The 14,836-nt window shown below is 38.8% G+C and overlaps 1 protein-coding gene across 30 annotated transcripts in view; it reads right to left on the bottom strand.

Moving 5' to 3' along the window:
* The window catches only part of OPRM1 (opioid receptor mu 1), a 236,372-nt gene that overhangs the window by 153,205 nt on the left and 68,331 nt on the right, over window positions 1-14,836 (bottom strand). For 14 of the 30 annotated variants that reach the window (NR_104348.1, NR_104349.1, NR_104351.1 and 11 more), the window contains 2 exons: window positions 3,485-3,837; window positions 2,191-2,711 (listed from right to left, as the gene is read on the bottom strand). The exons of 1 other annotated variant lie outside the window; for it this stretch is intronic. Coding sequence is in view for 25 of the 29 variants with exons in the window: in NM_001145279.4 (NP_001138751.1) it covers window positions 2,191-2,711; window positions 3,485-3,837 (874 nt within the window). In the remaining 4 variants the exon portion in view is untranslated. Of the gene's footprint in view, window positions 1-142; window positions 394-1,705; window positions 2,712-3,484; window positions 3,902-5,858; window positions 7,157-9,951; window positions 12,160-12,503; window positions 12,698-14,836 lie in introns of those variants that run through there. 15 more of the 30 variants (XM_011535853.3, XM_011535851.4, XM_011535862.3 and 12 more) reach the window with 15 other exon arrangements.

Genomic DNA, 14,836 nt, shown 5'->3' with positions numbered 1-14,836 from the left:
GTTATCTTACACTGATACTGCTTCATAGAGGCAGCGATGAAGATAAGGCCTAATTGGATGTATTTTTAAAGCAAACCTTTTAGTTACTTGGAACAGAACTCCTCCAATTAGCTTCTTTTCTCTTCTATCTGGCTGTACAATAGCCATACTGATGTGAAAATGCCGAATTTGGAAGGGAGTCAAGGGCAGTGTCGGGCAACTGAAGAATAATCATGCTTAACTCAGGAGAAATGCTCCACCAGACGGGCTGGGAGCAGTATTTCCACGAAGGCAGGACGAGTGAAGGATAGCTGGGAGGTCATATCTGACAAGAGGTCCTTGCAGTGGTCCAGGGTACACAACCAAGCAGCCTTGCTCTAGAGCCCAGCAAGACAGGGAAGGTATAGGTAGGCACTAAAGGAGAAAGAGTCAGTACTTTATAATGGCCATTATTTTGCTCCAATGGAAATATTTTACTTCAAAGCAAAATATTTTATCCTTAGCTGAGGACTAGGCATTTTAAGTTGCAATCTTTAACATGTTATCCCCAGGTTGGTGAAAATCTATTTAAATCCCTGCCCTTTTAAAGTTACTTACAAGATTCTAGCAGCCACTGAATAGGAGGGCTGCTTAGCATTAGGTTGGTGCAAAAGTAATCGCTGTTTTTGCAATTACTTTTTAAAAGTAGCTCCTAGTAAAAGGAGTAGGTTTAGCAGTCTTGATGTGGAAAAAAACGTAGAGAAAAGAAGCAGAGTCAAAACCATTTCTTTCTGGCATTCATTTCTGAAATGGAATTAGAACTGAGACATAATAAGTTAATTTCCCTTTGTCTGGAAGTGGGTCTGCCATCATTACCTCATGCTCTCTAGGGGGTGTGAGTTCCTGTGTTCCCTTGAGCATCACTGAATACCAGGGGTATGAGGATTAATGTCGCCCATGACGGATGTATCTGGGCCATATTACATTAGTCCTCTGGTCAATTAGAAAGGTTGAGCCTGGGCTGGGCTGGATGGCAGAGTGGGGTAAAGAGGGGACAGTGAGAGACAGGGTGTGGTCAAGAGACAGCAGGAGGAAGCCACTGCACCCTGTGGTGGCAAAGGCCTCCCCTAGCTCCTCAATCATTTGACTTGCTATTCATTTCTCCGGAGCCATCTGTCCTCACAGTCCTGACGCCTGACTCTAGGAACTTTAGCCAAGATTCTGACTCCAGCCTTTACTTCATAGGAAGTTTGAATTTGAATTCACTGTTAAAAAAATTATACAGGCTGTGATTTTTGGATGCTGGCATCATTATTTAAAATTTACTTACTTAGATTAATATTAAAAATTAAGCCATGTATTTGATTGATTTTATAGATCAGAGGTCAAATTTAGCCAACCAGTGGCTTAATCAAGTAATACTAACTTGGAGACAGCCTTTTCTCTTTCCTCCTTGTTGATTTCCCATATGATTATAATAGTGTGTATAAGTCTTGAATTTTCTGTGTAGGTCTGGGCACAGAAATACACCTTCCAAAAGCTAGTCGCTATTCACCCTATTATCTCCAACAAGCATGAGGTCTGTTAAAAATTGTTTAATCTAATAAAATTTATTAGATTAATATTCACATATTAATAATATATTATTCAGTCTAATATGTTTGATATTTGTGCTAGAGTTCAGGTAGCAAACCAATAGCTTAAGAAAAGTTAGGGATGGTCATTTTTTAATCTTTTCTCCTTTTCCATGATGCTAATTTTCTGTGAATATCTTGCATCCATGACCACAGTGGGCAAGGCACTCACCCTCTCTCTTTAATCACAGAACCAGAGCAAGACTGGCTTTTGAGAAATAAGAGGGGTATTGCAGCAACATCTATGAATTATATAATAATTCTGGGGAAAATGAAAAGGATTCTAGATCAGAATTATTTCTATAATGTGCTAAAGTCATAAATTTTGCATAGAAGTAAAGGCCATAAAAATAGTTATTTTGAATAGTTTCATGGATTTCTCATTGGTGTATCTTTATACCTAAATGAATATGTACAGTCAAATATAAAGAACACAGTTTATATAACAAACCTCTTCTCTAACACTAGAACCACAATTTGCTTCCCCTCTTCCCTCCATTCTCATCCTCTATAATGGATTAAACTCCTAGTTTAGCACAAAGCCTTATAATTTTTATGTCATCCCCAGTAGATATACCTAATTCTAGAGACTGCGTACCTGATGATTAGTTCTATCCACTGTATTGGCCGTGGAGGGGTGGTCTCTAGTGTTCTGACGAATTCGAGTGGAGTTTTGTTGCTCAATGTTGGAAGAGGTTGGGATACAGAACTCTCTGAAGCATCGTTTGAAGTTTTCATCCAGAAATGCATAAAGGACTGGGTTGAGGCAGCTGTTTGTGTAACCTAGAGCAATGCAGAAGTGCCAAGAAACAGTCTGGAACGTAGTTTCTGGGATTGTAACCAAGGCTTTAATGATGACGTAAATGTGAATGGGAGTCCAGCAGACGATGAACACAGCCACCACCACCAGCACCATCCTGGTGATCCTTCGAAGATTCCTGTCCTTTTCTTTGGAGCCAGAGAGCATGCGGACACTCTTGAGGCGCAAGATCATCAGTCCATAGCACACGGTAATGATGAGCACTGGCATAATGAAGGCGAAGATGAAAACACAGATCTTCAGCAGGTTTTCCCAGTACCAGGTTGGATGAGAGAATGTTAGTGTACAATCTATGGAACCTAGAAGAAAGGAATTTAAAGGAAAAATTAGCAGCAACATTTAATTATGTCATAAGGTGTTAATACTGCCATTTTGCTCATTCATTTTTAGCCTTGACCAGAGCTAACTTAAGGCTATAAAGAAATTGTGGAAGAAACTCAGTTGTTTGTTACTTTTCAAAGAAAGTTTTACTTCTAATGTTTTTTGTTTTTTTCTAAATTTCCCATTTTGCAGTCCACTTCGATCACATTAAGCTTTCGTTCAGGGAACAAAAATGAACCTCTCAACATGAGCTAGATCCTCCATGAGGTCTATATTGATATAAAAAATGTAATAATTGTCCAAAGTCTCTAGGCGGCTCCAGGTAATGGATGTTTTCACTTCATTTTTTGATGGATTGTTCAATATTCTGATATTAGGTGTAGAAAGATACATTTGCCATGTAGTCAGCCACTTGATAATTTTAAACAAGCCTCAGTGTAATACTCTTTGGGTTTAAGCTCCAATTACTCTTGGGAGAGCTATGTACTAATTTACACACCATTTTTATGAAGTAAATACAGAGAAATCAGAAATAAATAGATTACATTCTCTTTAAAGGATTTAATAGGCCTAAAATTATGAGGAAAATTCCTATTTTTAAGTATTCAAAGGCTTTTTTTGCTAGGAAGAATAATTAAAATTACAATGTGACTAAGACAATGGGGCACTCCATAAATACTGCTTTGCTTATGACATCACCAACATATCAGGCTGTGAACCCTCCTTCCCTCAGGCTGGTAACATCACTCACCTTGCCTGTATTTTGTTGTAGCCATGAACATTACAGGAAGACCAATGGCTGAAGAGAGGATCCAGTTGCAGACATTGATAATTTTGGCATTTCGGGGAGTACGGAAATCTAAGGCCTTGACAGGGTGGCAGACTGCAATGTATCGATCAACACTCATGGTGCAGAGGGTGAATATGCTGGTGAACATGTTATAGTAATCTATGGAGATCACTATCTTGCAAAGGATGGTTCCAAATGGCCATGTTCCCATTAGGTAATTCACACTCTGGAAGGGCAGGGTACTGGTGGCTAAGGCATCTGCCAGAGCAAGGTTGAAAATGTAGATGTTGGTGGCAGTCTTCATCTTGGTGTATCTAGGAGATAAAGGAAGAAGAGTGAGAATCAGTAAAAGACACTAGTGTAAAATATAGGTAAGCTTCCAATAATAAATTTGCATGAATTAGTAGAAAGCTTTTTTGAGATTAGATATAGAATTGTTTTCCAGTATCAGCTTGGCTATTTACAATGATGTCAATGATGTACCTATTGGCTAAATAGCTGCAATAATAGCAACGATGCTGCTTTGTTGAGTTTCTTCCTTTTTTTTTTTTTTTGGATAGGATCTTGCCCTGTTACCCAGGCTGGAGTGTAATGGTATGAACAGAGCTCACTACAGCTTTAACCTCCTGGACTCAAGAGATCCTCTTGCCTCACCTCCTGAATAACTGGGATCCCAGGTGCATGCCACCATACCCTGTTAATTTTAAAAAACTTTTGTAGGGACAGGGTCTTGACATGTTGCTTAGGGTGGTCTTGAACTCTTGGGCTCAAGCAGTCCTCCCTCCTCGGCCTCCCAAAGTGTTTGTGTTACAGGCATGAGACACCACACGCAGTGAGGGTTTTAATTTTTTTTTTTGTAATGTGTCAGTCATTGTGATAGGTCTAATAGAAAGAGGGAGATTCCAGTCAAATAGTAGGGGCAGCGACTGGATAGTAATTCTAAATATAAAAGAGAAAATTTTAGCTATATAAATATAGTTAAAATTATCAAGAAGTATAATTGTGCAAGTGTCTATAGGTATGTACACAAACACATGCACATACAAACACACAGGCGATTATGGGGCACAGAGATGAGGCATCTCACAGAGCATAAGGCAAAGGGAATAGTAGGAGTAAGATGTGGAAGGCATCCTGGAAGTGCAAGTTTAATCTCAAAGCACAAGCAGGATGATTGAGTTAGACACTTGGTAGGAGCAGGTCATTCTAGACAGAGAGGTAACAGAGAGAACCCCAACAAAGATGTAGAGTTGGAATGGCCTGATGTGTGTGTCAAGCACATTCTACCAGGGAATGGCAAGGGATCTGACTGGGGAAGAAGAGAGGCCAGTACATGAAGAACTTGTATGCCATGGTAAGATTAGACTCTATCCAATCCATGATGAGGAACCCAAGTGTGTTTGCTTTGTTTTTATTTTTTAATGCTTTATTGAGGTGGAATTGACCTATAATAAATAACGCATAATTAAAGTATACAATTTGATAAGCTTTGATACGTGTGTACACCTGTGAAACCACCACCATAATTAAGATCAGAGATTGGCAAACTATGGTGTGTAGACCCAATTGGACCGTTGCCTGTTTTATAAATAAATACACCTATTTAAAAACCCATAAGTGTTTTGATGCTACAATGGCAAAGTTCAATAATTGCAACAGAGATCAGATGACATGCAAAGCCTAAGTTATTTACTATCTTGCACTTTACAGAAAAAAATGTCAACCTCTGATGAAGATAATGACATCAATTGCTCCCAAAAGTGTCTTTGTGTAGCTCTTTAATCTTTCCTGTTTGCCCCTCCCTGTCCTCATATCCAACCCTCACTATTCCTCAGGCAATTGCTGATCTTGGTTTGCTTTCTGTTCTTATAGATTAGTTTGCATTTCCTAGAAGATGCAAATAGAATCATTCAGTATGTACTCTTTTTTTGTGCTGCTTCTTTCACTCAGTGTCATTATTTTGAGATTCATCTATGTGGTTGCATATAACAAGAATTAATTCCTTGTTATTGACAAGTAGTATTACTTATGCATTCATCTGTTTTTTTTTTTAATCCATTCACCTATTAATGGGAACTGAGTTGCATACAACTTTTGGATGTTACAAATGAACTGTTACGAACATTCATGTGCAAGTCTTTATATAAACATATGCTTTTCTTCCTCCTGGGTAAGTATCTAGGAGTGTTATATGTTTTCAAGGCCTGCAGAAATTAGAAATATGATAGTAGAATATAAGCAGGTACACTTGCAATAATACATTATATCTGATGGCAGAAGTATACCTTGTAAACATTGGACATCATTTTTTTTTTAACATTCCACATATATTTACCTTAATTTAGTAATAGTACCTCAGTTTCACTCTGGGAACCACTCATTTCCCGTTCTCAGTCCAGGTGCTTTGGGATAGGCTGTATTACCAGTCCAGGGCGTGAAGACGTTTAGTGACCGGGGCCATGGTGAATGGCAAGGATGCTCTCATGTTCCAACCAGAGCCAGTGAGAGTTTATTTTGAGACTTATGGACAAAGAGTGTATTAGTTTTCCTGCAGGACCCACACCTGAGAAGACGCATGGTATGTAGTTGCTGGAGGAGCTTGTCTGAAAATGGACCTAATCCGGAGGATGTGGATTTGAGAGCGTGAGAGAGAACCCCACACCTGAAGCCAGGCCCTCCTTGGGCTTCTGATTTACACGGTGCCATCAATTCCTTTTAAATGTTAGCTTGTGTTTACTGTTTTTCCGTCACACGAGGTTGAGTCTAACTCATTCAGCCCAAGACAGCTGTTGGTTGGAGGCCCTTTGTTTAGGACTGAATTCAGTGTCCAGGAAAGTGTTTTGGTTTCAATAACATCAGGAAAGTGATTTCATAAATCTCCTCAGGGTCAATAGGACAGCTTTGTTACTGAAGCTTTAAAATTCTGATACCTGATCTGGTCTGCAATACTTGCAGAAGCTGCATTACTGCCAGAAAAGCTCCACATTTTCAGACTTGGGGGCTTTTTTTTGGACTTACTTTGGGAGTTTCACTTTCTTAATGGATTTTAAAGAAAAAGATAGAGCCATTTAACTTGAGGAGAGAAAATAATTTGCTTTTAGTTTGGACTTTAAATATGGCAAATATAAAAAGGATAATGTAGACAAATACTCCAAAGTACAAAAACCAACAAAAAAGCAAAATTAAAACTGTGGTTTTAAGATTTAGAATAATTGACCTTGGTGCTCAAGAAGTTGAAACATTTTTTATTTTTTTAATAAGAAGAAGTTTCTCCCCAAAAGAGAAAATAACTTTTGCTAGATTCACCGTTGGTTATAGACCTGCATGATCTAAAGACATGCTTCATTGCATTTGCCACTTTCCTACCCAGCAGACCTTACATTTCGTGGCTTATCTTTAATGGTGTTTTATGTTAAGTAATTGGTTTCTTTACAGTCAGTTTTCTGACTCATCATACTTCCAACCTTTCCTTCAGGCTTATTTTAGCACTAAGTATTTCCAATGTATGTTTATTTTAATTAAAAAAAATCATTTCCTTCTCCAGAGTGAGGTGTTTGTGGAAAAAAAAATTATGTCAGGGTTCAACATGGTGAAAGGAAACGTGGTTATGCATAGTTAATTAGCATGCTAGCCATTCCACAATGTGTATACATTTCAAAACATCATGTTGTATATGGTAAATATACATAATTTTATCATCAATTTACCAAAAAAAAGTGAATATTTATCTATAAAAATTCTTTCAACGGGCATTTTATAGGAATGATGCTGTTTAATTTTTCTCAATTTATTTAAAAAGTCTTCCTCTAAAGATAGCCAGCATTCTTACCCCAGTTACTCATGCTTTGGATCACAGCAACATATAAAAGGGGGCTCAACGATCTTCTAAATATGTGAAAGAAAATTATACAAAGCTAAAGGATTAAGAATTCCAATTGCCTCCAGCATATACCCAAAGGCTTTAATCTGAAGAGATGGTCTAATCAGAAAAGGAGTAATGTGGGCTGGGCCTGGTGGCTCAAGCCTATAATCCCAGCACTTTGGGAGGCTGAGGTGAATGGATCACTTGAGGGCAGGGGAAGGAGACCAGCCTGGTCAACCCTGTCTCTACTAAAATTAGAAAAATTAGCTGGGGGTGGTGGCAGGCACCTGCAATCCCAGCTACTTGGGAGGCTGAGGCAGGAGAATCGTACCACTGCATTCCAGCCTGAGCAACAGAGAGAGACACTGTCTCAAAAAAAAAAAAAAAAAGGGCAAGCTTTCATTCTGTTCTGATGTGGTGGCATGAATGTTGTCCCAGCAAAGTTCAATGAATGCTCAGAGTCACATCATGGGCCTTGCACAGGAGCATAGGACTCAGAGTTAGCAAACTAGCAAAAGAAATGACCTGCAGGAAGAATTATCTTTGCCATTCAGTTTACCTGAGTGGGTCCGAGTAGAACTCCTGGCTATTAAAACACAAGCCTTTTTCCTTACTCCATGCCTACTGCTTTGTACTGTGCTGTGAATGTGTTCTGTGGCAAAATGGGCAAAGAGAGACTCATCTGGACTCACAGGCCATCCTGATATTGACCCTTCCTATGGTAGCCACTGAACTCCATCTTCTGCTCGAAGCAGTGGCCCAAGCTATTTCTTTCTAATTATCCCATTAAAATTTTTGTAGTAGGTATTTCTTTAACTTTGGTCTAGATGATTAAATAGCTCTTTTGTTTTATGAATTCAAATGAATTTACAATGCTATTCGTTTTTGAAAAAAATTGTGTTCTTCTGAGAACCATCGATGTTTGACCCATTAGAGTGATTTTTATGGAACTTCCAGAAGTGTTGGGGAAAAGGCATTGTGAGGCCCATTTGCTGGCAGCTCACCTATTCTTTTATGTTGCATATATGACTTTTGTTTATAGATGTTCTTCCTTTCTTATGGTTATAAAATAATTCTTATTTATCTTTTGACCTATTCTTCACACATTTCTCCAACTATTACTACTTACAAAATGTGATTGCTTTTGACCTATTTGTGTTAAGTGAAGCCAGACTAAATAAATTACCTCTGTACACCTGATGGGTTTTGTAAACTTCTGTTTAGTTTTGTGGTTAATTATTTGAATTGTGGTGATCGTGTCTCAGTTCAGAAATAAAACTGATCAAGAGAGTGAGAGGAGGAAGGACACATTTTAGAATCCAGCATGTGTGTGTGTGTGTGTGTGTGTGTGTGTGTGTGTTTAATTCCACATCATGGCCTTCATATTGCTCAACTACCTTTTTCATAAGTTCACAATAGAGTCAATGGTGATGGACGGAAGAGTTTCATCTCTTTTGGGGCTAATTTTTCTGCCTTTTCATTTTTTTTACCAAGTAGTGTGAAGAAAGATACCTAATTCAGTAAGAATTCAACAAGCCCCTTTTATATGTTCAGCAATGTGCTTGGAAAGATATATTTCTTGCATTTGCCATGACTTTTATGTCCACTTACCCTCACATAGAAATTAACCTTTTTAGTCGAGAAAAAAATCCTCCCTAGAGTGTCATACTTTAATACTCATATTTAATTGGATCAATCCAATGAGATAAAGATACTTTCCTACATTTCAAGTAATTATTTAGGCAAAGAATATGGTCAAATGAGTATCTACCTGAGTTAATTGATCCATTATTATCCATCTATTCCATTCTGATATCCCAGGTGCGTTTTTACTTGTGAGTGTGTGTGTGTGTGTCTGTCTGTCTGTTGGGGGGGGAGGTTCTAAAATAAGAAAAAGCATAATCAAAACTAGTGATTATCCTCTCATTGGCATTAACATGGAGAAAGACTATATATTAGGTTGCTATTTTGTATTATATTCTCCACTAGCTTAGTGAAGGGGAGAATGGAGGACTTCTCACTTTGCTATAAAATGTTGTGAAACATTTAATTTACATTTATTTCAAGGTGACGTTATGTAGTTAATGACATTTCTAATAAGCTACTATCAGCAAAGGAAAAGAGTGGTGATAGCAGACCTCTGAATCCTGCGACGGGAAAGGAACTATTGCTTGCTAGTTTACCTCAAAAAGAGAAGACGGGGAGAGGCCTGTATGAAATTAAGCAAAGAGGCATTTCCATCCAGAGGGCAAGTGGCCGTTTCCATTCCTGTGTGTCACCAGAGTGGGATGAATATCAGTCTTCTTCCTTTTTTTTTTTTTTTTTTTTTTTTTTGAGACGGAGTCTCCCTTTGTCGCCCAGGCTGGAGTGCAGTGGCGCGATCTCGGCTCACTGCAAGCTCCGCCTCCCGGGTTCACGCCATTCTCCTGCCTCAGCCTTCCGAGTAGCTGGGACTACAGGCGTCCGCCACCAAGCCCGGCTAATTTTTTGTATTTTTAGTAGAGACGGGGTTTCACCGTGTCGTAGCCAGGATGGTCTCGATCTCCTGACCTCGTGATCCACCCACCTTGGCCTCCCAAAGTGCCAGGATTACAGGCGTGAGCCATCGCACCCGGCTGACTATCAGTCTTCTTGGTAGCATGTCACCCTTTCTCTCCACATCCTCTCGCTCTTTTGTCCTCTCCCAATCTTCTCTGCTTTCTTCTTCCTTCGGGTCCCCCGATGACAAACCATGAGTATCTTTCAGACAGAGCAAGGGGAAGTTGCTTTCTCAGAACCATGATGAACTTTGTATATAGAAAATATAAAATGAATAACTAATTGTATTTTTATTTTTGCATTTGGTGCTTAAAATATCAGAGGAAAATCTGTGTATCCCCATAATAATTGTGTAGAAGCTAATGGCATACATTTCTATTGTGTTACCTCTCCTGCTAATCTCATGGTTTCATTCTCTCTTGGTTTCTATTGGCCTGCCTTCTTCTTTATTTCTCTTGTTTTCTGGTATGCACTTTTGTAAAGCTCTTCAAATTCTTATTTTGGAATTGGAAACTGGGTTGGAGGGTGAGGAGAGAACATGGCCGAATGTCATTGCACTACTCCTCTGGGTATAGGAAAGGAAATGGAACGAGAGATACTTCCATTATAGCCAAGAGACCTTGCTTTCCCATTTTTGTATTATGCTTTCCGGAAGTGCCCATTTCCTGCATTATTCGATTTCTGAAAATTTTACTTCAGGACATGGATAGCACGTATCAGAAGTTTATATAAAAATGACATGTTTTGCTTCTCTGATTTCTGTATTCTGTGATAAATAGTATTTATGTATTATAGAAAAATGTTACTATGTTATATTCTCTGACATATATAAGCAGTTATAACTAGATGAAATATTCCTATCTGTGGCTTTGATTTTTGTTTGCAAATATATAGAATATTTATTTTTTTGGACTAAAGACTTTGAAAACAGCATCAGAGCATCCATCTCAGGAGCTAGAGATTTTTGGTTTACAGAGAATACTGCTTTGCTTTTATTCTAAGAACCTGATATTTAGAGCTTAGAAATAGCTTAGCTTTCAAACTTATAACTTCTAAGGGGAAAGGTCATTTCTTATATTTTATGATCTGGGAATTTTATAAATGAAAAATCAAGTATACATTACTAGCGACTTCAAATCATAGTATAGCCCTAGGTATTTCTTTAATACGGAAGGAACAACAAAGAAGACAACTTCAAAATATGATAAAACAATTTCATCATTATCAATATTAGAAAATTACCTTTTGTAGAAGTGCAAACATATGCTGTAGATTTTAAATTTCTAGAAAGTTTAGACTACTAGTAAAATTATTTTTTACTGCGCTTAGTACAACAAATATGAGGCTTAATATACACTTTTGGTAATGACATTGTACATGTAATCACTCAATATAAGTAAAATATGAAAAATAACATGGATAGAATAATTTAACAAAATAAAATAGAAAAAAATAATCCATTCAGCATAGAACCCAGCACAAGATGGGCACCAGCATATGCTTGTTGAATGGAATTTAAATAAAGAAATAAGGGCTTGGGTTATTTTATTTTCTGTGTGTAAGACAAAACATTTTTTTCTTAGAGAACCAGCAATTTTTGAAGTAAGACTGAAGAGGGAATATTTGTTTTTGCTGTGCCAGTTCACTATCAAATTAAAAAGAACTTCAATCATAGAAAGTCATGGAATAATGAGAAGATCCCAATGAGACTTTCAAGATCACATTGTCTAAGAGAACGAGGGGTGATAGCAGACCTCTGAATCCTGCTGCAGGAAAGGAACTATTGCTTGCTAGTTTGCCTCAAAAAGAGAAGACCGGGAGAGGCCTCTATGAAACTAAGCAAAGAGGCACCTTTGCTTGATGGTGAAGGACCCGAGGCACACAGAGTTACAAGTATTTGAGGCTTTTCTCCCATTTCTCTAGACTCCATCTGAAACTAAAGAGGAGTCTAGCCTGTATTGTGGGCCACGTGTATTTCTAGGAGTGCATTGCTGATTGTGTTGTAAGCAATGGGTCCCAGAAATACTCTTCCACCTCTCTGACCACGTCGAAGTAGGCATGCAAAGCTTTCTTATCTTCTTTTCAAATATGACTGTGCTGAGAGTATCTTGGAAATCTTGAGACATTTTCTCGTTATAGTGAATGCTGTAACAGTCATAGTTGTTTAAAGGAAAGCTGAGTTTTTTCCATATCCTTTGCTTTCTTTTCTTTTCTTTCATTTATTTATTTATTTAGAGATGGAGTCTCACTCTGTTGCCCAGGCTGGAGTGCAGTGGCGCGATCTCGGCTCACTGCAAACTCCGCCTCCCGGGTTCACGCCATTCTCCTGCCTCAGCCTCCCCAGTAGCTGGGACTACAGGCGCCCGCCACCACGCCTGGCTACTTTTTTTCTGTATTTTTAGTAGAGACGGGGTTTCCCTGTGTTAGCAAGGATGGTCTCAATCTCCTGACCTCGTGATCTGCCTGCCTCGGCCTCCCAAAGTGCTGGGATTACAGGCGTGAGCCACCGCGCCAGGCCCTTTGCTTTATTTTCTTACAATCCATGGTTTGAACCTATCAGTTCTATGTAAACTGACTCACAACCTCTCTGTTCCCAGTTTGGTGACTACATTTTCTCCTTTTGTTTGGACATCTGTGCTTGCTTGCCGTGTTGGTTTCTCAGAGACAATACTTCTCAAAATACACTTATTCTTTCTCACCTCTTCACCCACCACCACCACAATGAGAACAACGCAATAATCAGTGACGTCACTTACAAAGATACAACAAATGGAGAATTGGGATTGTTAGAAAGAAGGATCAACAAGACTTATTTTTTGGAAGGAGGGAATAAAAGAAGGATGTAATGTGACTTCTGCACTTCCAGCATGGGAGAATGGATAGATGATAATATCATTGTCTAACAGAGAAGGCAGAGAGGAAAAGTAGATTTGGTGTTGACACTTTGGATGTATGGTGTTGTGGGACAAAGGAGACTGTTCATTAAGCCATTGGAAATGTCTACAGTTTAGCCGGAGCCACTCACGTACGGGTCACCAGACTCTAGATGATTCTAATCATGTGAGCAGATGGGATGGCTCTGTGCTGTGATGCAGAATGGAAAGAATGCTGAAGGCAGAGAAGGATCAAGTTCCAGAAAAAAACAGAGAGGAAAAGAGGGAGCGAGACAGGGAGGAAAGATAGGAATGCACTTTGCAGGCTACGTCAGAAATAAGTGAGTGTGAGAGAAATGAGGTTTGAAATGTCAGAGGTAGAAGCCAATCTGTGGGAAATTTTTTAATCATCGTACACACATTTTTGTAAGTAGAGGATCTGGTTTTTATCAATTCTCGTCTGACTATAGCTGATTATACATGTAACATGCAATTATTCATGGACTATAACTTTTTCATGGCAATCGTCTGAAATACAATTTATCAGGATTCTTGCATTTGAAGGCGTTAAGTTTGCTGCAGTACTATAGCCATGAGTATGTTTGTAAGTGAAATCACATATTTCATGCATCTTAACATATTGAATTACATTTCACTTATGTGATACAAACTTTCCTGATAAATCTTATAGCTCATATAAGAAATGATCTTGATAGAAATGTCCCCAAATGTGACAATCTTAAACATTTAAATGAGAATTCCAGGATCAATTTGCAAACTAAAAAATTATGTAAAATATCAATAAAAATAAATAAATTTTTCATTAACCATGCTAGAGAAACTAATTAGTATTCCCTTTTCCATATAGAATATGATAATCTGAAATTGTTATCAAATAATCAGGCATTCCTAAAGTATGCGGCCTACCATTTAAGAAAGCATTACAGAGGTATGGCAGGGAGTTAACTAACAAAAATATTATTATTTTTCTGACCAGGTGCAGTTGCTCACGTCTGTAATCCTAAGCTCTTTGGGAGGCCAAGGTGGGAGGATCCACAGAGCCTAGGAATTCAAGGCTGCAGTGAGCTACGGTCATGCCACTGCACTCCAGCCTGGGCAACAGAGCAAGATCTCACCTCTAAAAAATGAAAACTAATTAAAAAGATAAATTAAAAGATTATCTTTTTTGGATTTTGTGATATTTGTGGTATTTGTCAACTTTTAATACTTTATATTTCTAAATGATTTTTCCATTGAATTATCTGCTTTAGTTTCTTATTTTTACTTGTGATTTTCTATCGTCTTCTTACAGAGCACTCCAGTGTGTATGAGTCTTGAGCCTCATCCCACATATTTCGAGCCCCTGCCTGCTCACTTCTCAGCTCTGGCTCTCAGAGCTGTTCCTGGACTGAGCCTGATTATCTCTCTGGTCTCTGCCCTGGATTTCTGCCACAGGAATCTAGAGGGCTCACTTCCCCCATGCAGTGCAGGTGCCTCTGGCTGGCACAAAATTTCCCAACTCCATTGACCTCCTCTACCCCATTTTGGGTCTCCTTTGCATATTGCAAGATCATCTCAGTTTCTCTTTGCCTAGTGCCACTTGGCCAGATTTCTACTCCCCTCTAGCTACTCCAGGGGACCCTGGGGCACCCTGTGAAATGTCTCCAGAATTCCAGTCAGGCGAGAGGTCACATCTCTTACTGTTTTGGATTCCTTTTGTTTATTTCCCCATAAAGAGTTTTTCCTGGAGTGAGGGAATGAGATGATCAGTTGGTAAAGGCAGGGCTCACACTGAGTTGATTTCTCTTGCTCTCTTTCTCCTATCCTCTCAAATGTCTTTCCCCAGCCCAGAACGTTTTCCTCTCTCCTCTCTTCCTCTCTGTGTGGCAGGAACATCAACATTTTCACCAGCTTTTATTTTCTAATCTATGGCCTATGGCATAAGCCATATTCTTTTAGTCTTTTAGGATGATTTTTTTTCCCCCTCCTGACATAAGGTCTGGCTCTGTCGCCCAGGCTGGAGTGCAGTGGCACAATTAT

Source organism: Homo sapiens, chromosome 6, assembly GCF_000001405.40.
Source record: "Homo sapiens chromosome 6, GRCh38.p14 Primary Assembly".
NCBI lineage: Eukaryota > Metazoa > Chordata > Mammalia > Primates > Hominidae > Homo > Homo sapiens.
Note: the sequence above shows the minus strand (reverse complement) of the source record. Positions and strands in the feature narration are given on the sequence as shown.